Source organism: Homo sapiens, chromosome 14 (genome assembly GCF_000001405.40).
Source record: "Homo sapiens chromosome 14, GRCh38.p14 Primary Assembly".
NCBI lineage: Eukaryota > Metazoa > Chordata > Mammalia > Primates > Hominidae > Homo > Homo sapiens.
The window spans coordinates 72,911,067-72,938,196 of NC_000014.9; the positions used below are offsets into that span (position 1 = coordinate 72,911,067).

The 27,130-nt window shown below is 46.1% G+C and overlaps 1 protein-coding gene and 1 pseudogene across 21 annotated transcripts in view, besides 5 other annotated features; one reads left to right on the top strand and one right to left on the bottom strand.

Annotated features, from left to right (window-relative positions):
• Nucleotides 13,510–14,376: an enhancer, noted in NCBI's record as "H3K4me1 hESC enhancer chr14:73391284-73392150 (GRCh37/hg19 assembly coordinates)". NCBI's record gives its function as "activates a minimal SCP1, AML or CMV promoter by ChIP-STARR-seq in primed H9 embryonic stem cells {active_cell/tissue: H9 hESC(primed)}" and the evidence as "EXISTENCE:reporter gene assay evidence [ECO:0000049][PMID:30033119]".
• Nucleotides 14,777–14,876: an enhancer, noted in NCBI's record as "active region_8690". NCBI's record gives its function as "activates an Ori minimal core promoter by ATAC-STARR-seq in GM12878 lymphoblastoid cells {active_cell/tissue: GM12878}" and the evidence as "EXISTENCE:reporter gene assay evidence [ECO:0000049][PMID:35858748]".
• Nucleotides 15,167–15,436: an enhancer, noted in NCBI's record as "active region_8691". NCBI's record gives its function as "activates an Ori minimal core promoter by ATAC-STARR-seq in GM12878 lymphoblastoid cells {active_cell/tissue: GM12878}" and the evidence as "EXISTENCE:reporter gene assay evidence [ECO:0000049][PMID:35858748]".
• The window catches only part of DCAF4 (DDB1 and CUL4 associated factor 4), a 35,635-nt gene continuing 23,902 nt past the window's right edge, over nucleotides 15,398–27,130 (top strand). For 7 of the 21 annotated variants that reach the window (NR_147990.2, NM_001352448.3, NM_001163508.2 and 4 more), the window contains exons 1-2: nucleotides 15,398–15,477; nucleotides 26,905–27,004. Coding sequence is in view for 16 of the 21 variants with exons in the window: in NM_001352448.3 (NP_001339377.1) it covers nucleotides 26,913–27,004 (92 nt within the window). In the remaining 5 variants the exon portion in view is untranslated. Of the gene's footprint in view, nucleotides 15,478–15,704; nucleotides 15,864–18,681; nucleotides 18,755–23,956; nucleotides 24,121–26,883; nucleotides 27,005–27,130 lie in introns of those variants that run through there. The other 14 variants (XR_007064003.1, XM_047431256.1, XM_047431257.1 and 11 more) reach the window with 7 other exon arrangements.
• Nucleotides 15,607–15,666: a silencer, noted in NCBI's record as "silent region_5902". NCBI's record gives its function as "represses an Ori minimal core promoter by ATAC-STARR-seq in GM12878 lymphoblastoid cells {active_cell/tissue: GM12878}" and the evidence as "EXISTENCE:reporter gene assay evidence [ECO:0000049][PMID:35858748]".
• Nucleotides 16,108–16,972: an enhancer, noted in NCBI's record as "H3K27ac-H3K4me1 hESC enhancer chr14:73393882-73394746 (GRCh37/hg19 assembly coordinates)". NCBI's record gives its function as "activates a minimal SCP1, AML or CMV promoter by ChIP-STARR-seq in naive H9 embryonic stem cells {active_cell/tissue: H9 hESC(naive)}" and the evidence as "EXISTENCE:reporter gene assay evidence [ECO:0000049][PMID:30033119]".
• On the bottom strand, nucleotides 18,499–18,898 carry RPL36P3 (ribosomal protein L36 pseudogene 3; annotated as a pseudogene).

Here is a 27,130-nt window from a genome sequence, read left to right on the forward strand (position 1 = left end):
GAGGAGGAGCTTGTGGTGAGCCAAAATAGCGCCACTGCACTCCAGCCTGGGTGACAGACTGAGACTCTGTCTCAAAAAAAAAAAAAAAAAATTGGAACAATACATAAAGATACAATCATGAAAATGAAAGTCTCTTAAAATCTCACCATCCTAACCAGTAAAAATGAGGTAGACTTCTTGCAGTGCATTTATATACACACACATGCACACACACACACACACACACGCCACAGTTTTACATGGATAGGATCATATCATACTTGCTGTTTTTATTACGAACAACTGTTCTCTTTTCCTCTCCTCCTCCAACATTAACAAGAACATAGGGTGTGTCCATATATATTTTCCTTTGTAACCATACACACACCAGTATACATTTTCATATACACTGACACATGCAGGGAGGTTTTCTGTTCTTTTTTTACAATGATGGAATCACATTACACTCATTCTGCATCTTACTTTTCTCACTCACTGGTATCTCTTGGAAATCTCTCTCAGACATCTGGTAAGGCTATCATTCATCCCATTGAATGGCCATATAATATTCTATGGAGTAATATATTTTAATTTTTCAGCCATTCCCTGATTAATGGCCATTCACTAGGTTTCTGGTTCTTGGCAGCTACAAACAAGGCTGCAATAAATATTCTTGCACACATGTTCATACAAATTAGCACTTTTATTTTATGGAATAGATTCCTAGGAGTAGGATTCTGGGGTCAAAGGAAATATGTATTTTTAATTTTAATAGATATTGCCAGACTGCCTTCCAAAAAAGAAAGGCCAGAATGCTCTATGACAACACTAGCAATGGATGGAGCACATGTCACCCCACAGTCCTGCTGGCAACAGGTATCATGACTCTTCTTAATTTTTTGCCAGTTTAATGGATAAAAAGGAATATTTCATTAGGCATTTGCATTTCTCTGAATCTGGGCCACTGCATACACTGTGCAGTTTGTGCATAGGACGATGGGGCAGAAATCTGGCCCACAAATGGTTTGCAAAAACAAGCATCCTAATGGTGTTCAGTGCAGAGGAAGGGGCCCCAGCCTTTTCTTGTTTATATGAAGGTAATGCCAGTGGCCCCATCCTGACCACCAAGACATTTGAACACCTTTTTATATGGCTATTGGATATATTTGGACTTCCGTGAATTTTCTCTCCATATCTGTTGCCCATTTTTCTGTTGGGAAGCAATAGAAAACATCTACTTGTATCATTTAATATTAATCTTGTCAATTTATAGGAGCTGAAATTTGCAAGATTAACTTTACAGAAATTAAATCTGACTACCATCTGCATTACAGTTACTATCATTTGCCCAATAACTTTTTTATGGTATCACTTACAAAATATTTTTAATGTTTTAGTCAAATATGTTTATCTTTTCTTTTATAACTTTTGGCATCCAGTCTTGATTAAAACCATCTCCTTGATCTCTAGAAAATACAGGCTGGGTGTAATGGCTCACCCTTGTAATCCCAGCAGTTCGGGAGGCTGAGGTGGGTAAATCACCTGAGCTCAGGAGTTCGAGACCAGCCTGGCCAACATAGTGAAACCCCATCATTTTGTACTAAAAATACAAAAATTAGCTAGGCATGGTGGTGGGCGCCTGTAGCCCCAGCTACTCAGGAGGCTGAGGCAGGACAATTGCTTGAACCCAGGAGGTGGAGGCTGCAGTGAGCTGAGATTGTGCCACTTCACTCTAGCCTGGGGAACAGAGCGAGACTCTGTCTCAAAAAAAAAAAAAAAAAAAAAAAAAAAAAAATATATATATATATATATATATATATATATGTGTGTGTGTACATAAATATTTAATAAGATAATTTAGAAGACTACCTGTATTTTCCCTTTTTTTTTTTTTTTTGAGATGGAGTGAGCTGAGATCCTCCCACGCACTCTAGCCTGGGCAACAAGAGCGAAACTCCATTATAATATGCATCTTTGGCTTATCAAAATATAGTGTAATCAGTACATCTACCTTCCTCCCAGAAAATGCAAACAATTTTTAGAGTATTTAACTTTAGCCTGGGCACGGTGGCTCACGGGTGTAATGCCAGCACTTTGGGGCAGGCAGATCACATGAGGTCAGGAGTTTGAGACTAGACTGGCCAACATGATGAAACCCCATCTCTACTAAAAATACAAAAATTAGCCAGGTATGGTGGCAGGCACCTATAATCCCAGCTACTCAGGAGGCTGAGGCAGAAAAATTGCTTGAACCCAGGAGGTAGAGGTTGCAGTGAGTGGAGATCACACCATTGCACTCCAGCCTGGGCAACAGAGCAAGACTCCATCTCAAAAATAAAAAAGAATATTTAACTTTACATATCTCCTTCCCAACTTATTTTCTGTCATGTATTTTAAAACTCTACAGTTGAGGTTCTTGTACATTACCCATTCATTTACCCTTTTCTTTGTTCTCCATTTGTTTATTTGTTCCTTCATTTCTCTCCAACCTTCCATCCGAGACTACTTTCACTCTGCCTGAAAAAAAAATGTGCATTAGAACTTCCTTCAGTGGGTTTGCTGGTAACAAACACTCAGTTTTTGTTTGTCTGTTTTGTTTTGTAAAATACGTTTATTTTACCTTCTTCTTGTCTAGATAATTTTATAAATTTGGAATAATTTTAAACATTAATTTTCAAGACTAGGATAAAGAACCCCTTGATTTCCTGAACCATTTGGAAATAAATTGCCAACATGATGCCCCATAACACATAAACACTTTAGTCTATAATTCTTTTAAACAAGGACATCCTTCTATATAACCAAAATAAAAACACCAAAATCAGGAAATTAACACGATACATTATGACCATCTAATCTAGAGACTCATTCAAGTTTTGCAAATTGTTCCATTAATATCCTCTAGAAAACAAAATAAACCATTTCAGATGACCTGTTGCATCATGTCTCTTTTGTCTCCTTCAATCTGGAATAGTTCTTTACTTCCCTTGTCTCCATGACCTTCACATTTTTGGAGATTACAGGACAGTTTTTTGTGTGTGTCTGATGTTTCCTCGTGGTTAGATTCAGGATATGTGTTTTTGGCAGAAATACCACAAAAAAATGACACTGTGTTCTTCTCATTGCCTCCCATCAGATGGTATGCAATCTAGATTTGTGTCATTACTGGTGATATTAACTTTGATCACCTGATTAAGGTGGTATCTGCCAGCTTTCTCCACTGTATGTTACTCTTTTCCCCTTTGTAATTAATAAGCATTTTTAGGAGATATTTTGAAATTATGTAGATACCATTACTTTGTCAAACTTTTGCTCTCTAGCCTCAGCGTCCATTGATGTTTCTTAGTTCTGAATTAATTATGATGATAATGATTGCCAAATGATGATTTCATTTATTTATTTATGTTCAAAACAGGGTCTTACTCTCTCACTCAGGCTGGAGTGCGCTGGTGCAATCAGGGCTCACTGCAGCCTTGATCTCCCAGGCTCAAGCAATCCTCCCACCTCAGCCTCCCAAGTAGCTGGGACTACAGGCATTTGCTACACCTGGCTAATTTATTCTTTTTTTTTTTTTTTTTTTTTTTGGAGAAACGGGGCCTCACCATGTTGCCCAAGCTGGTCTCGATCTCCCTCAAGCAATCCTCCCACCTCAGCCTCCAAAGTGGTGGGATTACAGGCTTGAGCTACCACGCCCAGCGTAAATAGTGATTTTCTAACTCCATCGTTCCTTCTCCATTTATTCATTGACACTCTGCTGCAAGAAAATATTTTCTCCTCTCCTCATTTTTTTTTTTTTTGAGATGGAGTCTCGCTCTGTCACCCAGGCTGGAATACAGTGGTGCAATCTAGGCTTACTGCAACCTCAACCTCCACCTCCCAGGTTCAAGCGATTCTCCTGCCTCAGCCTCCTGAGTAGCTGGGATTACAGGCACGTGCCACCATGCCCGGCTAATTTTTTATAATTTTTAGTAGAGACGGGGCTTCACCATGTTGGCCAGGCTGGTCTCAAACTCCTGACCTCAAGTGATCCACCCACCTTGTCCTCCAAAGTGCTGGGATTACAGGCATGAGCCACATCGCCTGGCCTATTTATTCATTTAGTTAATTATATCAGTGTGGATTCAACGATTCCTACTAATTCAATAGGTTATAATTCATTACTTTCATTTTTTTTTTTTTTTTTTTTTTTTGAGACGGGGTCTTGCTCTGTCGCCCAGGCTGGAGTGCAGTGGCGCGATCTCGGCTCCCTGCAAGCTCCGCCTCTCGGGTTCACGCCATTCTCCTGCCTCAGCCTCTCGAGTAGTTGGGACTACAGGCGCCCGCCACCACGCCTGGCTAATTTTTTTGTATTTTTAGTAGAGACAGGGTTTCACCATGTTAGCCAGGATGGTCTCGATCTTCTGACCTTGTGATCCGCCTGCCTCGGCCTCCCAAAGTGCTGGGATTACAGGCGTGAGCCACCGCGCCCAGCCTCATCATTCATTTTGACGCTTAAATAGTCCCAGATTTGGCCAGTAGGAGCCCCTTCAAATTAAATATCCCAGTCTCATTTTAGAACTTCCCTGCTCTAGCCCTGGAAACAGCCATTTCTCAAACAACAACAAACCTGGTTCCTGTCAGTAAAAAATAATTTTTAGGAACCAAGATTTGAACACTGGTTGTACTGCTGTCAGGGTCTTGCTGCTCCTGAGCCCTCTCGGTAGCCAGAGGCAAGAACATCTGCATATGTACCTGTACATATTTATATCTCTGTGTGTGTGTGTGTGTGTGTGTGTGTGTGTGTGTGTGTGTGTGTCCATGATTGCACTTTAGTACTTCAATCCCAATCTGGTTTTCAATCTTTCCACATTTATAGCTCTCTTTTCCAATAGTGAGAATCCCATCTCCCATTGTTCTCAATACATTTACTCACTGGATCATGTTATGGGCTGAATCATGCCTCCCTCCAAAATTCAGGGAAGCCCTAATCCCCACTATCTCAGAATATGAATGTATCTGGAGATAGGGCCTTTAAAGGGGTGATTCAGGCTGGGCACGGTTGCTCACACCTGTAATCCCAGCACTTTGGGAGGCCAAGGCGGGCAGATCACTTGAGGTCAGGAGTTTGAGACCAGCCTGGCCAACTTGCAAAACCCTGTCTCTACCGAAAATACAAAAATTAGCTGGGCATGGTGGCACACCTCTGTAGTCCCAGATACTCAGGAGGTTGAGGCATGAGAATTGCTTGAACCGGGCTGGCTTCAACGAACCGAGATCATGCCACTGCACTCCAGCCTGGGCAACAGCGAGAGACTCTGTCTCAAAAAGTAAATAAATAAAGATGTGATTCAGTTAAAAGGAGGGCATTAGGCTGGGCCCTAATCCAATTTGACTGGTATCCTTATAAGGAAGAGGAAATGTGGGCACAGAGAAATACCAGGGATGTTCACACACAGAGGAAAAGCCATCTACAAGCCAAGGTGAGAGGCCTCCGAAGAAACCAAACCTGCCAACACCTTGATCTTGGACTTCTAGCTTCCCAGACTCTGAGAAAGTAAATTTCTGTTGCATAAAGCCACCCAGTCTGCGGTGTTTTATTATGGCAGTCCTTTCAAACTAATACCGATCCATCTAGCCAAAAGCAACCTCGTCTAAAACCAGCACCAACAAATTTTTTGTGATTGTCAGCCTGCCTTAAGCAAGTTCTGAGAAGTACCTCTTTCTGTAGCAATCTCATTATCTATATAAATTCAGCCAGACATGGTGGCTCACACCTATAATCCCAGTGCTTTGGGAGGCTGAGGCAGAAGGATCACTTGGGCCCAGGAGTTCAAAACCAGCCTAGGTAACTTATAGTGAGACCCTCATCTCTATGAAAAATAAAAAAAATTAGCTGGGCATGGTGGCACATACCTGGAGTCTCAGCTATTCAAAAGGCTGAGGTGGGAGGATAGCTTGAGCCTGCGAGGTTGAGGCTGCAATGAACCATGATTGCACTTCACTGCACTCCAGCCTGGGTGACAGAGCATGACTTTGTCCCAAAAAAATAAAAAATTAAAATAAATAAGTAAATTCAGTATTCTCTGCCAAGCAACTAGCTGTGCATAATCTCAGTGTGCTTGCAGGGACTGGTTTGGTCTCAGAGTTAAGGGGCCAGTGGATTTTGCCACAATATATATTCTGTGCATGTTGTACCCTGATGGACCCTATTCATTCTGAAGATCTCCCTGATGGCTCGGCCAATCCACGGCACCTACAATGCATATTTAGTGAGTATCAGAGAATACAATCACTGACAAAGAAACCAGCTCAGAGCTTAGCTTGTTCCTTAATAAGGCATTGCTCAAATTGCGACCCCCTTAAGAAGTGTGCTTTAAATTGTGCCACGATCTAACCTTAACTTATTTGAAATTTCAGAAATCTGAAAAATGACTCTGAATCATAGACCCCAACTCCTTTATCTTACCCATTCTTATTCCTCTTGGAATTTATGTCCTGACTTCACAAGTCTAAGAATGATGGCTCTGGCTGCCTGCGCTGCGTGATCTGCTGGAGCCTGGAAGCCCCAGCTGTGCTTTCTCTGCCTCTGACACCTCCCGTGGTAATAAACAGAGCTCTACCAGGGCTTCCCTAATGACTCCTGCAGCAATGGACAACATTGCCGCTCATTAATAGTGGTGCTAGCACTATGGGGCTAGTGGGAACAAATGTTTATTTGGTTCCAGAAAATGAGCCAATCCCACCATTAGACACTGTCCACAGAGATGCGATGAGAAGAAGCCATTTATAGAAAGAGAAGCTTATTTTGCTGAAACCTCTGCTGTAAGCTGAGGTGGTTAAAGCTTCTACAACAGCAACACACCGTGGCTGAATCTTACCCTTGTCTCAAAGAGCTGCTTCCTCTGGGGAGTAGAGAAATCATACCCATGCCTCAGAATGGGAAAACAGATGCCTGGAAAACCCTCCTCTGCATTCTCCTTTACTTTCCCAGCTTTTACAGCCAAGCTGCTGGGATTCTCACTATGTCTGTGGAAGAAGGTTATCATGCATCCTTATGGGTCCCAATTCACTGTGTCCTCAAGCGCTCACTGTGGGTCAGGCGTTATTCTACATCTTTGTATAATCCCAGTACATTTAATCCTCACACTGAGGTGGGTTCCTCATTTTTCAGATGGGAAAACTGAGGCTGTCCTGGAGAAACCCAGGACAGGATAAGAAGGTAATCCATTCTGTATTCAGATCCAGAGAGGTCAAGTAACATGCCCAAGGTCACACAGTTAAACTGCAAAGGAACAGGAATTCAAACACAGGCCAAGTGCCTCCACAGCATGCAGTCTGGACCACCAGGCTGTATTTTGGGTAATGGTTAACAATAATTACAATTATATAAAGTGTCTTCCTTCCAGTATGCAAAACACTTCCAAATAGGTTGTCTCATTTACCCATGGTACAACACTTTTCTAATCTGGAAGGATGAGGTTACAGTGCTTCAAATTATCTCCTTTAATGCATAACAGGGGACTATGTCCTCAAATTTGGGACAGAACAAGGAATAAATTGATTTATGAAAGCATGTGGCCCCAAGGGTGTTGACTCACCTGAGAGATTAGGGGGGCACACAATTTGGGGCTGAAGAGGCTGCTTACTTTCTTGGCTTACCTGATTTTGTACAGATGTGATCCCAGAAAACACAACAGAAAAATTCATGCCCTCAAAGTCCCTATGCCTCTCTCCTGGGGCCAAGAACAACATTCTCATCCGATTTTCAGGAAGTCTCCTGAGGCACACACACATACAGTTTCTTGATTAATTCAGTTTGGCTTCAAGTCCTTCTGTAGTTTCCTAGGGCTAAACGGAAGCCGAATTCTTCCCAATTCCCTTCCTCGTGTCCCCTAAAGGGAATCCTCCTATCAGTGTTCAACAGAAATTCAAATGCAGAAGAAACCAGGGAGGCAGTAAGATTTCGAACAATTGCATGCCTCAAGTTTTTTTGTTTTTTTTTTCCTGTTCTCATTCTGCTTGATTTCCCCCCTTCTCTCAATCTATAGCTTTCTATGTTTATAAAGCTGTTGACACCAATAAAGTCAGTCACGGGAAACAATGCCCATCCTTTTATGTTATTTTATCTTGCTGAGGTCAGGAATGATGCTCATGGAAGCTCCAGCGAGGTACTCTTCCTCTGAGCCCCTCCTCATTCTCTAGTCTAGACTCTCCTTGGAAGAAGACCCCCAAATTTGCAAATGTTTAACACAGAGGGGGAAAAAAGCTATAAAAATTATTTTAGGAATCCTCCAAATGAAAGCACCATTCTTGACACCATCCCCTGGAATGGCTTGTCTGTGTGTCCAAGAAAAGGCTTCATTGATTTCTAAGACCAAGACCCCCTCTCCATGGCAAGGAGTGGAGGAATTAACAGCTAAGGATGAATCCTGCTGAAAGAAATACAGTTCTATACCATAAATAAGCCACAAACTCTGTTATTTGTGTAATCTAGATGCCTGGGGAGGTAGAGTCACCACAACATGCTCTTTTTTTTTTCTTTTTTTTTTTTTTTGCTCTGTTGCCCAGGCTGGAGTGCAGTGGTATGATCTCAGCTCACTGCAACCTCCACCTCCCAGGTTCAAGCGATTTTCCTGCCTCAGCCTCGCAAGTAGCTGGGACTACAGGAGTGTGCCACCATGCCCACTTAATTTTTTGTATTTTTAGTAAAGATGGGGTTTCGCCGTGTTGGCCAGGCTGCTCTCGAACTCCTAGTCTCAAGTGATCTGCCCACTTCAGCCTCCCAAAGTGCTGGAGTCACAGGCGTGAGCCACCACGCCTGGCCCCATGCTCTCTCTTTAATGCACAATTTAAGATATTTAGCCATCAGGCCAGGACAGGATGAGAAGGAAATCCATTCTGCACTCAGATCCAGAAAGATACGCCTGGCTAAATAGTGACCTGTCTTGACTAATCAGACTGCACTTTTGAAAATCACATTGTATAAGAATACTTATTGGCCTCAAAAAAACATTATTCATAATATACTGTTTAAACACCACAAAAAAGTAATTACCTTAAAGAGCCCTTTTCTGAAACAGAATCCGACTGAGATGATTCAAAAGAACTATTAACAGTTTAGGCAAGATGAAGAGAAATAAGACCACTGGGGCACCCAGGGGCTAGCAAGAGTAGGAAGCTATGACCACCAGGAGGCTCAAAGGAGCAAGGGGAGGAAATGAAATTTCTGGCGCCTGGACCAGGGGCCAGAAAACATTCCCAAGCAGGGAAGGAGCAAGCAAAATCCTCATTTCTCTCTCCACCCACCCACCCACCTATCTACTACTGGTGTCTCTCACTGGTTGAACTCAACTAGAAGGCTGGCAGCAAAGGAGTCTAGGTAATCCATTTTGTAGATATGCACAGAGCAGCCCAAAGAAGGATGAAGAGTAGATGGGGGACAAGGGAGCAAAAAGAGAATAGTCACATCACCTGACCCAAAGTAGCCCCCAGTCACTTCTTATCACATCATCTTGTCTTGTCATTGTACTTACCATTATTTTTATTTTATTTTATTTTATTTTATTTTTTTTTTTTTGAGACAGAGTTTCGCTCTTGTTGCCCAGGTTGGAGTGCAATGGTGCCATCTTGGCTCACTGCAACCTCCACCTCCTGGGTTCAAGCAATTCTCCTGCCTCAGCCTCCCAAGTAGCTGGGATTACAAGCATGTGCCACCACACCCAGCTAATTTTGTATTTTTAGTAGAGATGGAGTTTCTCCATGTTGGTCAGGCTGGTCTCGAACTCCCAGCCTCAGGTGATCCACCTTCCTTGGCCTTCCAAAGTGCTGGGATGACAGGCATGAGCCACCGCACCTGGCCTTTTTATTTTTATTTATCTGTCCCCCTCCCCACTTGAATGTAAGCTCTTTGAAAGGAAGGAATTTGTCTGTCTTATTCAAAATTGTATCCACACATGGAATGTTGGAGCCCAGGAAGACTAGGGAAGGCTTCCTCGTGCGTAAAGGGTACAGGGTTTCCCAGCACAGGTTCCCAGAGCCTGAGTGGGGAAGAAGGACATCTGTATTGGGTAGGGGGTGGGGGCAGAGAGAGGAGATGTCTACCTACAAAGGGATTGATCAAACAAGTAAATAAAAATAATGAGAACCTCACTGCTGGAGAAGGAAGCTACAAATACAGAAAGGGAGAAAACTAGAATCAGCCCTATATGATGGATTGGAATTGGAGATACTGGTGTAAACTCATGGTTTTCAAGATAGGTGGGTAAACTGATAGATGTACAAATAAATATAGATGTCACAGTGAGTGTGGGAGTGTGTGAGTGTGTGTTCCCAACTGTAACCATGAAGAGTGCCTTGGAACAGGGATACCGTAATAGCAATAAGCACACTTAGCATTCAGGTCTTGGCTTCTAAATACCAATTTCTATGACATGGAGATTAAATTCAATTGAATTAAATTGAATGGAGCTGAAGATTAGGTGACAGTGGTATATCAATGTCAATTTTTCAGTTTTGATGGCTATGCTTTGGATACATAGGAGAATGCCTATGTCTGTAAGAAATACAAACTAAAAGTATTCCAGACTGATGACACATCAAGTCAGTGGTTACCCTCAGGAAAAGAAAAAGAAAAATTCTGTAGTTGGAAGTTTTCTATTAGTTTGTGATTGTTTTCAAAAACAATTTTCTTAAAATGTACTTACATTCCCAGCACCTAGAACAGATCTGGCATTCCAAGTGCTCAATAAATATTTGTTGAATTAATAACTGAAAGATATAAACAGTTAGAACAAACACATGCTTAGAAAAAACACATCCAAATATTAACAGTGGTTTTTTTGGAGGGATAGATTTATCACAGGTAATTTGGGTATTTTTTCACTTTGTGCTTTTCTGCTTCTCAAGTTTTCTTAGATTATTATGCATTATTAACTGTTATATTGGTCAGGCTGCTAACCAGCTAAGACTAGTATTTTAGAGGCAAAATCTTGTCCCCAGATTTATGGGTTTCAACATTTTGTGTATTAAGTTATTGGGACCAGATCCTTGGAAACTGCTTGTCTACCCAAGTACACAGAATACGAATATGATCAGTTAATTATTGAGACATGTAACTTCCTGATGTCTAGAATATTCTTGCCCATTACCCACGGCTCCCTCTTTTCCAAAATCATGATAATGGAGTCAGTCATCAGCAGTTTGGTGAATACGTAATCATACAAAGAGGTGTAGAGAATTTTGTTGGGTATTTCATTAGGTTAGCAAAGGAACTAGAGGCTAGGGCGCGATGGTTCACGCCTGTAATTCCAGCACTTTGGGAGGCCAAGGCGGGTGGATCACCTGAGGTCAGGAGTTCAAGACCAGCCTGACTAACATGGTGAAACTCTGGCTGTACTAAAAATACAAAAATTAGCTGGGCGTGGTGGCGGGAGCCTGTAATCCCAGCTATTCGGGAGGCTGAGGCAGGAGAATTACTTGAACCCAGCAAGCAGAGGTTGCAGTGAGCCGAGACGGCGCCATTGCACTCCAGCCTGGGCAACAGAGCAAGACTCCATCTCAAAAAAAAAAAAAAGGAAATGAACTAGGGAATTGTTCTATATCAAGATTTTCAGTGACCAGCCAGATGCAGTGGCTCACGCTTGTAATCCCAGCACTTTGGGAGGCTGAGGCGGGCGGATCACCTGAGTTTGGGAGTTCGAGACCAGCCTGACCAACATGGAGAAACCCCATCTCTACTAAAAACACAAAATTAGCCGGGCGTGGTGGCACATGCCTGTAGTCCCAGCTACTCGGGAGGCTGAGGCAGGAGAATCACTTGAACTCAGGAGGCGAAGGTTGCAGTGAGCCAAGATCATGCCATTGCACTCCAGCTTGGGCAACAAGAGCAAAACTCCATCTCAAAAAAAAAAAAGATTAAGATTTTCAGTGACCAAGACACTCACTTGGATACTACTGAAAAAACACTGAGAAATTCTGATGAAAATGATCCTTTTTCTAGGCCCTGGATGGACTGTTACCCCACAATGGGCATGTTAATTTAATTACATTTCTCTTGCATTGATTTTATTTTGGATTAGTCTCCATGATGTGATTTGACAGGCATCCTAGTTCCTGTGGCAACTTACGTACAAGTCACCTCTTAAAATAGCCAACTCCTGCTGGGTGCAGTGGTTCACGCCTGTAATTCCAATACTTCAGGAGGCTGAGGCAGGAGGATCACTTGAGCCCAGGAGTTTGAGACCAGGCTGGGCAATATAGTAAGACCCTATCTCTATAAGAAAAAAAAGTGTTTTTTTATTTTTTTTTTTTTTATTTTTGAGATGGAGTCTTGCTCTGTTGCCCAGGCTGAAGTGCAGTGGCACGATCTCTGCTCACTGAAAGCTCCGCCTCCTGGGTTCACGCCATTCTCCTGCCTCAGCCTCCCGAGTAGCTGGGACTACAGGCGCCCGCCACCACGCCTGGCTAATTTTTTGTATTTTTAGTAGAGATGGGGTTTCACCATGTTAGCCAGGATGGTCTCGATCTCCTGACCTCATGATCCACCCACCTCTCCCTCCCAAAGTGCTGGGATTACAGGCATGACCCACCACGCCCAGCCTGTTTTTTCTTTTTTTAAAAGGACAACTTCTGCAGTTGATTTAAACAAATGTTGATTTGTTTAAATTAACATTTAAATTTTATATTTTGGGGGATGGGAGGATGTGGGGATGGCTAATGGGTACAAAAACATAGTTTGAAAGAATGAATAAGATCTAGTATTTGAAGGCCGGGTGCAGTGGTTCACGCCTGTAATCCCAGCACTTTGGGAGGCCAAGGCGGGCAGATCACCTGAGGTCAGGATTTCAAGACCAGCCTGGCCAACATGGCAAAAGCCCATCTCTACTAAAAATACAAAAAATTAGCCAGGCATGGTGGAGGGCGCCTGTAATCTCAGCTACTTGGGAGGCTGAGGCAGGAGAATAGCTTGAACCTGGGAGGCAGAGGTTGCAGTGAGCCGAGATCACGCCACTGTACTCCAGCCTGGCAACAGAGTGAGACTCCATCTCAAAACAGACAAAAAATATATATATATTGTTTTAGTCTTTGCCATGTGCCAGATATTTTCCAACCTCTTTCTATAGATTCATTCCTTTTCATTACAACATTTGCCTTGGCTTCAAATTCTGGAGATGAAATGAAAAAATAATTTTTACTTTTGAAGGTAATATACACCATCTAGATACCATGCTACCTTTATAATCGCGGGTGCTTAACCAATGGGCGCTGTGCACCAAGTCCTGGGTGAGGTACTCCATCATCAGCGCTTACTCCTTACAACCTTTCTCAGTAGATGTCTTATCCTCATTCTAATCTGTGAAGAAACTGAGGTTGGAATGCCTCATGACTTGCCCAAGGCCCAGCAAGCTTCATTTGTTCACTGATTTGCAAACATTCTTTAATCTTTCATCTGTGTGTGTTGCAGGTCCCCGAGGTATATCTCATGCCCACGTCACTGTCCCCTCTGTGGACATTCAACAGAGCCTGCTGGCCGGCTGCCAGCCACTCATTGACTCAGCAAGCCCAAGCCAACTCCTCCTGCCACCTTCCTCAAGTGTCCCCTGGCTCTTCAGTGGAAAATCCAGCTTGACTCCTCCCCGAGAGTTAAGTCTGGCCGATTCTCCCTCTGAATTCTGCCTCCCATCTGTACCCCCCTTCCATCCTGGCTACCCCCACCCTGGTTTGGCCCTCACTACCTTTCACAAGGACTGTTGCTGCAATAAGTTCCTTAGGGGTCTCCCAGCTGACTTCCACAATCTTTTCTCCCCAACCCCCTACACGGTGATTTCCCAGAAGCACAGCTCTAGTCCTGTCACTTCCCAACTCTAGAACCCTCAGAGCCTCCCATTGTCTACTTTTTTTTTTCTTGAGACAGGGTCTCACTCTGTCACCCAGGCTGGAGTGCAATGGCGCTATCTCGGCTCACTGCAACCCCCGCCTCCCGGGTTCAAGCAATTCTCCTGCCTCAGCCTCCTGAGTAGCTGGGATTACAGGCGCCCGCCACCACGCCCGGCTAATTTTTTGTATTTTTAGTAGAGTTGGGGGTTTCGCCATGTTGGCCAGGCTGGTCTGGAACTCCTAGCCTCAAGTGATCCACCCGCCTCAACCTCCCAATGTGCTGGGATTTCAGGCGTGAGCCACTGCACCCGGCCTGACTACTCTTTCCCTGGCAATTGCTGCGTCACCAAGCCCCAACCCACCCTGCTGAGTTTTCCTTCCAAGACTCCCCTCCCATCCAGCCGGCTTGAACCGGCCTCCAGTCACGTTGTTTGTTCAGCTAGAATTTTTCTCTGCCTTCTCTTCAAGGCCGCTCAAGCTTCATGAAGCGGTTCTTTATTCTGACTATGCCCACTTCTCTCATTTCCCTCATCACCCGGCCCCGCTCCACATACTGCATTTATCTATAAACTCCTGAGAGCCAGGAGTTTAGCCTGAAATCCTAGCTTCCTGGTTAAGAGCTGAAATGCCTTCGCACGGCGTGCAATGGGTGAACCCCACCGCCTGCTTTCTAACGGGTCCAAGCCGCGGGCAGGGGCCTGTGTTACGGAGCCGCATGACACACCAGGCCTACTGCTGGACCCCAACAAGCCTAGCCTCTGTGAATCCAGCTGTCCTCACAAACTGTCTCTTCGGGACACAAGCCCATCAGAGGCTTCCGTTTTCCTTTCATAAGATCTCATAACCGTCAGCTGATACCTGGGACAGGCACAGCACACATAGGTCATTCTAGAAATATTGGTGGTCTGAACAAACTCTAAGCTGGAGAGGACATGAGAATGATAGATCCGATTCCTTCTCTCAACAGAAGAAATCAAGGCACAGAGAAGGGAAGAGACTCGCCCTAGGTCCCACAGCAAGCAGCAGTACTGGAGCCAACACGGAGGCCCCCCGGTTTCACGGTCAGGGCTCGCTACGCTACACCCTGAACGCAGACCCAGGGCAGCGGCCTCGGCCGCCTGAGGCCACTGCCGAAGACTTCGCCGCCAGTCGTAACATCACGTTACTTCTGTCCCTCGCCTCACAGACTCCTTCGCTCTTTCCACTACAGCGAGAGGACTTCTCCAGGGCCGCATCACCCTGCGGAGGGAGGAAGACACGGTCTCTCACGAAAGGGTCTCCAGACAGTTCCGCTGCTCCGGGAGCAGCCCCCGGCCCCGCCCCCGCGTGCGCCTGGCCCCACCCCCAAGCGCTCCATGACCAGCCTCCACGTGCATCCGCCCCAGACAGGCCAGGCCTGGGAGGAGCCGAAGCCCCACTCCCCGCCTTCTTCATGAGATCGTCCCTATTGACGTCGACAGACAGAAGCCGCGTCCAGTGAGAAGGAAAGAACGGCCGCTATAGCCCTATCGGCTGCTACAACACCAAAACGCATCCACCTAACTGGCTGACGCTACACCTTGGTCTTTCCGGGTCCTTGCACGCTTCGCTCCAACTCCTGCAGAGCTGAGCCGGAGGGGAATCCGGAAGGGACACGCTGAACAGGTAAGACTGTGCTGCCTGGGGTGCCTACTGGCATCGATTCGAGGGCTGCCGCGCTCCCGCTGCAGAGCTCGGGGTGGGAGACAGGCGCGGCGAGGAAGGCCAGGGAAAGGGGCGGGGAGGGGCGGGGAGGAGTGAGCACGTGGAACGCCGGCGCCACCGGGCCTAGGTGGCAGCTGGGCCGGCGCGCTCCGCCCGTTCTGGGGCGCGTGGGGCCCTCCGGCCGGATCAGTGCTGCAACCGTAAACACGCAGGGAGGGCACCCCGAGTGTCGCCGCTGAGGGCGTTTCTCTAAGCGCTTCTCTGAGACCTGCTGCTGAAGGCCCCACCCGACACCTGGCGGGGGCTGGGCTGCGGGCCTTGGGGCGGTGTCCCCTGTGAATGTTCAGGTCAGCATAACAGGTTAGGTGTGGTTGAAGCTTACGAAGTGGCCGGCTCTGTGCTGCCGGCTTCACAGGCGCTAACATTTGCCAGCGCTATGATGTCCTTGTCAGACGCAGAAAGGGGTGCAGTTTGGTTGTCCGTCGGGGTAGCGCACAACTAGCAAGTGATGGGGCCTGGGTTTGGCCCTCGCCTCCACTCTGAGTTGTGAGTTAGCGAGAAAGCCACGCCTCGTGGGCTCCCCGGGGGCTTCAGAAACCATGACGCCTTTCACCATGGTGTTCTACAGGCATTGTCTTGTGACTCCAGCAGCGCAGCCAGAAGCAAAGAAAACTGAGGGGACGGCTTCCTAGAGGAAACAATTCCAAAGTCCCAAACTCTGATTTTAAATAACGATGGAAATTAGAGTCGCGGTGGTGTTCTTTTTTTTTTTTTTTTTTTTTTTTTTTTGAGGCGGAGTCTCGCTGTCGCCCAGGCTGGAGTGCAGTGGCACGATCTCGACTCACTGCAGCCTCCGCCCCCGGGGTTCACGCCATTCTCCTGCCTCAGCTTCCCGCGTAGCTGGGGCTACAGGCGACCACCACCTCGCCCGGCTAATTTTTTGTATTTTTAGTAGAGACGGGGTTTCACCGTGTTAGCCAGGATGGTCTCGATCTCCTGACCTCGTGATCCGCCCGCCTCGGCCTCCCAAAGTGCTGGGATTACAGGCGTGAGCCACCGCGCCCGGCCTGAGGTGGTGTTCTGTGGGTAACCAGGCCTGGGGGTCCTACCAACAGAGGTGGAATCCCTGTTCCACCATTTAACTTACGCTGGGTGTGGTACCTAGTCCTGTAAGCCTGTTTCCTCATTTGTAAAATAGGATTGAAAATACCAACTCAGGGTGGGCGTTAGTACAAAGCTTGCGCCTGAAGTATTTCTTAAATAAGTGTTAAGAGAAAATTTTGTTGTTTTTTAAGTCAGCTGTCTAAAATGTTGTTTTACAGTGAACAACTCCTAACTGCTGGGATTATAGGCATGCACCACCACACCCGGCTAATTTTTAAATTATTTGTTAAGATGGGGCGGAGGGGTGTCTCACTATGTTGCCCAGGCTGGTCTTGAACTCCTGGGCTCAAGCTATCCTCCCACCTCAGCCTCCCAAAGTGCTGGGATTAGAGGCGTGAGCCACCGCCCTGGCCTGTAGAAGCTACTTTGTATTCAGCTTTACAGACCAGTGGCGTTAGCGTTTTGCACATTACAGCCCGCTAGTCTACAGAATCCCCCCACTTTTTTTTTTTTTTTTTTTTTTTGATACGGAATTTCACTATTGTTGCCCAGGCTGGAGCACAGTGGCGCGATCTCGGCTCACCGCAACCTCCGCCTCCCAGGTTTAAGGGATTCTCCTGCTTCAGCCTCCCGAGTAGCTGAGACTACGGGCGCACGCCACCGCGCCCGGCTAACTTTTTGTATTTTAGTAGAGACAGGTTTTCACCATGTTGGCCAGGATGGTCTCACATATCTGCCGACCTCGTGATCCGCCCGCCTCGGCCTCCCAAAGTGCTGGGATTACAGGCATGAGCCACCGCGCCCGGCCAGTCTACAGACTCTTACAAAATTCCCCTGTTGTTGGATATCTAGGATGTTTCTCACTTTAACTATTACAGCATGGTGTAGTAAACATCCTTTATATATATATATATATATATATATATATATAGTTCACATACCCTAAAATTAACTTTTTTAAAAGGGTTCAATCCAGTGGGTTTTTTTATTATTATATTGGCAAGATTGTGCAACCATCACCACTGTCTAATTCTGGAACATTCTCATCCACCCAAGAAGCAACCCCGCGGCCCCAGGGTGCCCCAGTCTCAGAGCCCCGGTTGTTGGGCTCCAGTCCAGGCCCCCTAACCATGTGCTAAACAAGATGGTGAGGCTCAGCCTGGAAACCAGAACAGCCCCGAGGCCCCCAAACTGGAGAGCCCCAAGGGGAGATGGAGCCCCTCCCCCATTCTGAGTTTTGGCCCCGTGCTAAGGCTGGACCGACCCCCTGTGCTGTCAAGCCTACCTCCCAGGGGAGGCGAGGCCAGCCCCGATGTGTGCGGGCTGCCATCCCCCACACTTGGCTCCGGGGCTGGTCGGTGTTGGGCGTCCCAGCACTGCGGGCGGCACGGACGCCCGGGGCTGCTCCCTACTGGGTGTAGCGCACCCCGCCCCCCACCCCGCCCGGCCTCCTCTGGGCCTGCGCCTTGGGCCTATTGAGGCCAGGCCTGGAATGGTGCCCTGGAAGCAGGAAAGAGCCTGTAATTCCGGAAGCTGCGGGCTCCCAAACCAGACACCATTTTGGAGACCGGTGCAAAAATGTGTGCCGCTTTTGTGTGGAAAACTGCTAGACTGTGAGAGAGAGCCGACCTCCTCATGCATGAACCTTTATAGAGGGTGGTCCACATATTCTGTGCACTACATACACATACGCTGGGCACATACTGGCTCTCTGTGTTAAATCTCAGATTTGCTGCCGCGCGTGGTGGCTCACGCCTGTCATCCCAACGCTGCGCCAAGGCAGGAGGATCGCTGGAGGCCAGAAATTCGAGACCAGCCTGGGCGGCAACAAAGCGAGACCCCGTCTCTACAAAAATATTTTTTATTTTTATTTTATTTTTCCGTCAAGCTGTTCTTTATTTCAGGAAGAGGGCAGGGGAGGGGGCTCAGTCTTTCTTGGCAGCGGCTTTCCTCATGGCAGCCAGTACCTTGCTCAGCTCCTCCCGCTTCCTCTTGGCACGGATGTGCGTCCCCACCCTTTTCTTGATGAACTTGAGGGCCCATTTCTCCTTGAAGACCTTCAGTGACTCCATGGCGCGCAGCTCGTACGAAGCGAAGCCACACACCTCCCGGATCATGTCCCGCTACAAACTTGGTGCGTTTGCTCAGACGCCCGCGGCGGCGGCTGTGCCTGGGCTTGCTCACGTTCTTGGTCACCTTGTGGCCCTTGTTGAGGCCCACGGCCATAAGGTAGCGCAGAGCCATGGCTGCTGCTCTCCATGGCGGCCGTGGCGGAAGGCCAAAAATATTTTTTAAATTAGCCTGGTGTTGTGGCTCGTGCCTGTAATTCCGGCTACTCCGAGGTTGAGGCAGGAGGACGGCTTGAGCCGGGGAGATGGAGGTTGCCGGGAGCGGAGATCGCGCCACTGCACTTCAGCCAAAAGGGGGGTAGGAGGGAATAAGTAAATAAAATTAAATAAATAAAGTGGTATCTCACTGTGGTTTTGATTTGCATCTACCTAAGGACTAATGATGTTGGGTATCTTTTCATGTGCCAGTTGGCTATTTGTGTAGCTTTTTCTTTTTTTTTTTTGAGACGGAGTTTTTTTTGTTTGTTTTTGAGACGGAGTTTCGCTCTTGTCGCCCAGGCTGCAATGCAGTGGCACCATCTCGGCTCACTGCAGCCTCCACCTCCCGGGTTCAAGCGATTGTTCTGGCTCAGCCTCCCAAATAGCTGGGACCACAGGCGCCCGCCACCACACCGAGCTGATTTTTGTATTTTTAGTAGAGACGGGGCTTCGCCATGTTTATCAGGCTGGGCTTGAACTGCTGTCCTCAAGTGATCCGCCAGTCCCAGCCTCCCAAAGTGCTGGGATTACAGGCGTGAGCCACTGTGTCCGGCCCTAAATAATGTCTTTCGATGCACGGAAGTTTTCAATTTTGATGAAGCCCAATTTATGTGTGTATGTGTGTGTGTATATATATATATGTAGTGTGTGTGAGTTTTGGGTGTCATATTTGAGAAATCATTGCCTAATCAAGATCATGATGATTTATACCTTTGTTTCCTTCAAAGAGTTTTATAGTTTTAGATCGAGATCCATTTTGGTTCATTTTTGTCCCATATGGTATGAAGTAAGGATCCAAATTCATTCTTTTGCAGTTTGATATTCAAATGTCCCAGCAGTTGAAAAGACACTTCTTTCTTTCATTGAATGGTCTTGGCACCTAGATGAAAACCAGTTGACCATAGATAGGCATATGGGTTTATTTCTGGTCTCAATGCTACTCCATTGATCTATATTTCTATCCATATGCCAGTAACACAGTGTCTTGATTACTGTAGCTGTGTAATGAATTTTGAAATTGCGAGGTGCGAGTCATCCCAACTTTGTTCTTTTTCAAGATGATTTTGGGTATTCTGGGTCCCTTGCATAATATGAATTTAGGATCTGCTTTTCCATTGCTAAAAAAATGGCATTTGGAATTTTGATAGGGATTGCATTCAATCTGTAATTTCTTTCAACAGTGTTTTATAGTTTTCTGTGTACACGCCATATATTAATTTTGTTAAATATATTCCTAAGTACTTTTTCTCTTTTTTTTTTTTTTTTTTGTAACTGAGCCTGAGCAGGACCAGAGGAGTGCTTTATTCTTTTTGATGCCATTGTAAATGTAACTTTTCTTTCATATTCAGGCTGTTCATTGCCTGAACCAGTGTATAGAAATACAACTGGTTTTTCTATATTGATCTTGTATCCTGCAACCTTGCTGAATTCATTTGTGAGGTCCAGTAGATTTTTGGTGGATTCTTTAGGATTTTCTGTATATAAGATCATGTTTGGTTGCCTTTTCTTTGTCTTGCCTAATTGCCTGTCTAAAACTTCCACTACAATGTTGAACAGATGTATTGAGAACCAACATCTTTGTCTTATTCCTGACCATAGAGGGAAAACTTTGTCTTTGGCCACTAAGTATGATGTTAGGTGTGGGTATTTTGTAGATGCTCCTTATCAGGTTGAGGAAACTACCTTCTGTTTCTAGTATGTTGAATGTTTTTTTAATCATGAGAGGATGTTGCATTTTGTCCAGTGCTTTTTCTGTGTATCAATTGAGAAAATCATGTGAGGTTTTCCCCATCTATTAGTATGGTATATTGATTGATTTTCATATGTTGAACCAACCTTATATTTCTGAGATAAATCGCGCTTGGTCTTGGTATATAATTCTTTTTATATGCTCCTGGATTTTGCTTGCTAGCATTTTGTTAAGGATTTTTGTGTCTCTGTATTCATAACCCATACTGACCTATATTTTTCCTTCTTTTTTTTTTTTTTTTGAGAGATGGAGTCTTGCTCTGTTGCCCAGGCGGGAGTGCAGTGGCATGATCTCGGCTCACTGCAACCTCTGCCTCCCAGGTTCAAGCGATTCTCCTGCCTCAGCTTCCCAAGTAGCTGAGACTACAGGTGTGCACCACCACGCCTAACTAATTTTTTGTATTTTGGTAGAGATGAGGTTTCACTCTATGTTGGCCAGGCTGGTCTTGAACTCCTGACCTCAGGCGATCTGCCTGCCTTGGCCTCCCAAAGTGCTGGGCTTACAGGCGTGAGCCACTGCACCCGGCCTTGACCTATATTTTTCTTCCTATATCTTTGTCTGATTTTGGTAACAAGGTAATACTGGCCTTATAAAATGATTCGGAAAAATGTAGTAAATATCTTGGAATCATTTTTGTAGGAGCAGTTCCCAGAAGGAAGGCATGTACATTTGTAAGTTACTTGATAAATATTTTCCAGTCATTTTCCAAAAAACCAAATTGTGTTTATTTGTGATTAACATTGCCTTTGCAGAATAGTAGTCTCTTAGAAATTATAATTCTTAATGCCTTGAGGTACTTAAAAGTTTCTCTGAAAGACAAAGGCAAGCCCAACCTTCTGCAACACACCTGATTTTAACATCTAGAGCAGCTCCAAAGGTGCTAGATGCAGCATGTTACCAGCAAATTGTTTTCGAGTGCTTCCTACATAGAACAGGTTTTCTCAGCTTTAGCACTGTTTTGGGCCAGGTAACTCTTTTGTTGTTGTTTTTGAGATGGAGTCTTGCTATGTTGCCCACACTGGTCTCAAACTCTGGACTCAAGCCATCCTCCCACCTCAGCCTCCCAAGCAGTTGGAACTGCAAGTGTGAGCCATCACACCCAGCTGAATAATTTTTTTTTCTTTCTTTCTTTCTTTCTTTTTTTTAATGTTGTTTGTTTGAGACGGGATCTTGCTATGTTGCGCAGGCTGGTCTTGAACTCCTAGGCTCAAGCAATCCTCCTGCCTCGGCTTCCCGAGCAGCTGGGATTATAGGCATCAGCCACTGCACCCAGCCCTGGATAATTCTTGCTGAAGAATGTGTGGAAGCTGCCCTGCGCATTGTAGGGTGGTTAGCAGCATCCCTGGCTTTTACCCACTAGGCGCTAGTAGCAGCCTACCCCTCCTTCTCCCGAGCTGTGACAAACAAAAATGTCTCCAGACATTGCCAGATGTCCCCTGGTGGGCAAAATAATCCTTAAGAAGCACTGATCTACAAACTGTGATGCATACTGGGTTTTATATTATTACTAGATAAAATTGTCTCTAATGGCCAGGTGCGGTAATCCCAGCACTTTGGGAGGCCGAGATGGGCAGATCACAAGGTCAGGAGTTCGAGACCAGCCTGGCCATTATGGTGAAACCACATCTCTACTAAAAATACAAAAATGAGCCAGGCATGGTGGCATGCGCCTGTAGCCCCAGCTATTCGGGAGGCTGAGGCAGAAGAATCGCTTGAACCCAGGAGGCAGAGGTTGCAGTGAGCCGAGATTGTGCCATTGCACTCCAGCCTGGGTGACAGAGCAAGACTCCATCTCAAAAAAAAAAAAAAAAGTCTCTAATTCTCACTGTATACCATTACCACTTTGGTGCCATTTGTCCCAGTCCATGTCACCATATCCTGTTTACTTTCAAATCTGTCTCTTTAGGCTCAATTTCTCTCTGTATTCTCAGACCCGTATTTCCCATTGCCTGCATCTTGAGATTGATTTGTTCAAAATCAGACTTACTCTCCTCTCCCCAAAGTGTTCTTCCTTTATTCTTAGTCTCCCTGCTCATGACTCTACCAGTTATTCACTTAACCTTTCTCAACTCCTCTCTCCACCTCTCCCATGAAATTTGCTGCCTAAATCTAAATCCAGGCTCCGCTATCCCAAGTACCATGTCCATAATGTGTAAGCGAGTTCATCTCACCTGGCTTGCCACTGCAGTTCTTACTTGTCACCCCATGCCGCTGCCTTTCAGGTGCCCTTTCTTAGCAGCTCTAATCATGTCACTCCTCGCACACCCAGAGTCCTCATGATCATGCCCTGTCTGCCTCTGCAGGCTCATCCCCCCCATTTCTTGAACTTCAGGCTCTGGCCATACCAAACAGCCTGCAGGCCCCCCGCCCCCACTGCCTTACGTGGCATTTTCTTTTTTTTTTTTTTGAGACGGAGTCTCGCTCTGTTGCTCAAGGCTGGAGTGCAATGGCGCTATCTCGGCTCACGGCAACCTCCACCTCCCGGGTTCAAGCGATTCTCCTGCCTCAGCCTCCCAAGTAGTGGGGATTGCAGGCGCCCACTACCATGCCTGGCTAATTTTTGTATTTTTAGTAGAGACGGGGTTTCTCCATGTTGGTCAGGCTGGTCTCAAACTCCCAACCTCAGGTGATCCACCCGTCTCGGCCTCCCAAAGTGCTGGGATTACAGGTGTGAGCCACTGCACCCGGCCTAATTTTTGTATTTTTAGTAGAGTTGGGGTTTCGTCATGTTGGTCAGGCTGGTCTCAAACTGCTGACCTCAGGTGATCTGCCCACCTCAGTCTGCCAAAGTGCTGGGATTACAGGCGTGAACCACCACGCCGGGCTTGCCTGACATTTTCATTCTTCAGACTGCACTTATCTCCCTCCCCCACCTCCAGCCCAGGCATGTGGAGCAGTCACTCCCTTCTCTCCCACCACACCTGGAGAGACCTGGGTCTTCATCCTTATCCTGTGCTGCAGGGGTTGGTCTGTGCATCTGTCTCCCATATTAAACAATCGGTGCCTCCAAGCCAGGTAGCACAGCTTATTATCTCTGCCCACTCCCCAGTGCCTCACATGGAGTGGGCGCTTTGTAAATGTGTGTGGAGTAGTAAGTGGAAATAACCCAGAGCAGAAAGAAGCTACCTGGGACTTAAATGTAAAGTAGCCACAGGTTTTGTTTTGCTTTGCTTCAGTTCAGCAAAAATTTACTAAGCACCAACTAGGTCATGGATGCTAGGAATAGAAAAAAGAACAAAGTAGGATGTTTGCCTTACAGAATTCACCTCACGTCCAGTATGAGATGGGAGTATGAACAAACAGTCATGCAGAGTGATGAGTGCAAACATGGACTATAAAGCGGCCATAGAGAATGAACTGTGTTTGTGTTTAGAGAAGACACACTCCCCACCCCTGAACAGGCTTCTTAAAAGTACTAGAAAGGTACTGTCTTTGTCCTAGCCTTTAAACTCTTACTGTATTTGGAAGGCTTCTATTAGTATGTGACTTTTTAAATGATTTTTTTTTTTGAGACGGAGTTTCACCCTTTTGCCCAGGCTGGAGTGCGGTGGTGCAATCTCAGCTCACTGCAACCTCCGCCACCTGGGTTCAAACGATTCTCCTGCCTCAGCCTCCCAAGTAACCGGGATTACAGGCACCAGCCACCACACCCAGTGAACTGTTGTACTTTTAGTAGAGACGGGGTTTCACCACGTTGGCCAGGCTGATCTCAAACTCCTGACCTCAGGTGATCCACCCGCATCGGCCTCCCAAAGTGTTGGGATTACAGGCGTGAGCCACCACATCCGGCCTTTAAAATGATTTTTGCTTGACCTTGCTAACTATATTACTTGAGGTTGGCAGGCTCCCTTACCAGATTGCAGTGCCTGTATGAGTTAGGGGTGAACACATGCTCTCCCTGGCCCAAATTGGCATTCGCCAGTGATTTTATCATCGGCTGCGTCCTGCTGATTGTGCAGCCCCCTATTGAGAATAATGGTGTGAGTGGGACACAGTCCTGCCTCCTGTGGGTGATCTGAAGTCTTTGACTCACCAGTTCGTGTGTTCTTTGCTGTATTCATGCATTGTTACATAATTCAACAAATTAGAATCATTTCATATACAGAATATGCACTCTAAAGAAATTTTGACCTTTTTATAGAGTTGGTAATAATAATAATCTTTATGTCAGTAGAGTTTATTTTTCCTATCAGTCTTTTTCTCTTTTTGAGATGGGGTCTCACTCTATTGCCCAGGCTGGTCTCAAACTCTGGGCTCAAGAGATCCTCCCACTTCAGCCTCCCAAAAGTGCTGGGATTACAGGCATGAGCTACTGCACGCAGCCATTTTCCTACCAGTCTTAACACTGGCCACACGTGCTTCCCTTCCTGTGCGCAGTCCCTTTCAGCTTGTAACTTAACTATTAATAAATACAACTGTATTCTTTAGCTGGGGTATAAGATAACTGATCCATAGGGAAACCCACACATGGTGTTCAGGAGCCATTGTTTAGGACAATGAATAAGATAAAAGTTTTGGAGCCGGGCTTGGTGGCCCACGCCTGTAATCCCAGCACTTTGGGAGGACGAGGCAGGTAGATCACTTGAAGCCAGGAGTTCTTGAGCAGCCTGGCCAACATGGTGAAACCCCATCTCTACTAAAAATACAAAAATTAGCTGGGTGTGGTGGCAGGTGCCTGTAGTCCCAGCTACTCGGGAGGCTGAGGCAGGAGAATCGCTTGAACCCGAGAGGCAGAGGTTGCAGTGAGCTGAGATGGCGCCACTGCACTCCAGCCTGGGCAACAGAGCGAGACTCCATCTCAAAAAAAAAAAAAAAATACACACACATTTGGGCTGCAGGGGCAGGGATATTGCTTTCAGAGAAGAGAGGTATAGACAGGCAAAAGAGCAGATCGGGGGTTAGAGAGAAATCATGAACTCACTTTTGAACCTGTTGGGTCTGTGGAGATAGACACGAAGCAGCATAGGAACTTGGTGCTCAGTAGCGATATTAGGGTTGGAGCTGCATCTGCATTGGTAGATGAGGTGGTGTTAAGTCTGAAAAGAAAAGGATCTAGGACAGAACAATGGAAAGCACATACAGGGTGTGTGACCCAGGAGAAATGAGCAAAGGATTTATTTAGCAAGAAGAAAACCAAGAGAAAGATATTACAGAAGCCAAAGGAAGAATGTAGCCTCCTGGTGCCACATGTTGCAGGAATAAGGGCTAAAAAGAGACCACTCACTTTGGCAAGTAGGTAATCAATAGCAAGAGCATTTTAGTAGAAAGGCGAGGAGAGAGGAAGCTCAACTGCAGTGGGTTGAGGAATATCGGGAGATGAAGACATTGAATTCGTAGATGTAGACCATTCTTTCAGAATATGCCCATTTTTTTGGATTAGAAATGGAACACTTACAAATGAAAAACCTGGGCATGTTTTTAAAAGCTGAGATAAGGAGAAGGAGACATTAACATATGGGGGAACAGATAGATGTCTGCAGTTCCTGGGAAGGAATGAAATCAACAGCCAGGTGGGATGGGTCTCCCTTGAAAAGGAGCAGTGATACCTGTTGTCCAAGACAAGGAAGAAGACAATTAGTAAAGGCAGGTATTTGTGGAGCAGAAGGGAGTGAAGTTAGGGGTTTCATGCCTGGCAATTTTTCTTTTCTTTTTTTTTTTTTTTTTTTTGAGATGGTGTCTTGCTCTGTCGCCCAGGCTAGAGTGCAGTTTACAGTGAGCACAATCTCAGCTCACTGTAAACTCCACCTCCCGGGTTCAAGCGATTCTCCTGACTCAGCCTCCTGAGTAGCTGGGATTACAGGTGCACGTTACAACTCCCGGCTAATTTTTGTATTTTTAGTAGAGATGGGGTTTCACCATGTTGGTCAGGCTGGTCTCGAACTCCTGACCTCGTGATCCGCCTGCCTCGGCCTCCCAAAGTGCTGGGATTACAGGCATGAGCCACCGCGCCTGGCCGACCTGGCAACGTTTCTGTGGGGTAGGAAACTATGTGGTCGACTAAGGGTAACAGGAAGGAAGTGGGAAGGATGTTGGGGGAGTGCTGGAGGCAGCCCTTCCCAGGTAAGGCTTGCTGTGGCAAATCTGATGATAACCCAGGGTGGGCCAGCCTTTTGCTGGTGCTGAGCATGAAGCAGCTGCCAAGAAGCAAACAGAAAAGCCCATGCCCACACACAGAGATGTATGGATTTTTTTGTTTTTCTCTTTTAGGAACAGAAATGAATAAAAGTCGCTGGCAGAGTAGAAGACGACATGGGAGAAGAAGCCACCAGCAGAACCCTTGGTTCAGACTCCGTGATTCTGAAGACAGGCAAGTGTGCCGCTCTGGGGAGCCACTTTTGCCCAGTGTGCTTCTGGCATTGTACACATGGCATGTCACACGATCACAGGTGTGGAGATCACCTGGGGGCTCGTCCCAATGCAGGTTCTGATTCTG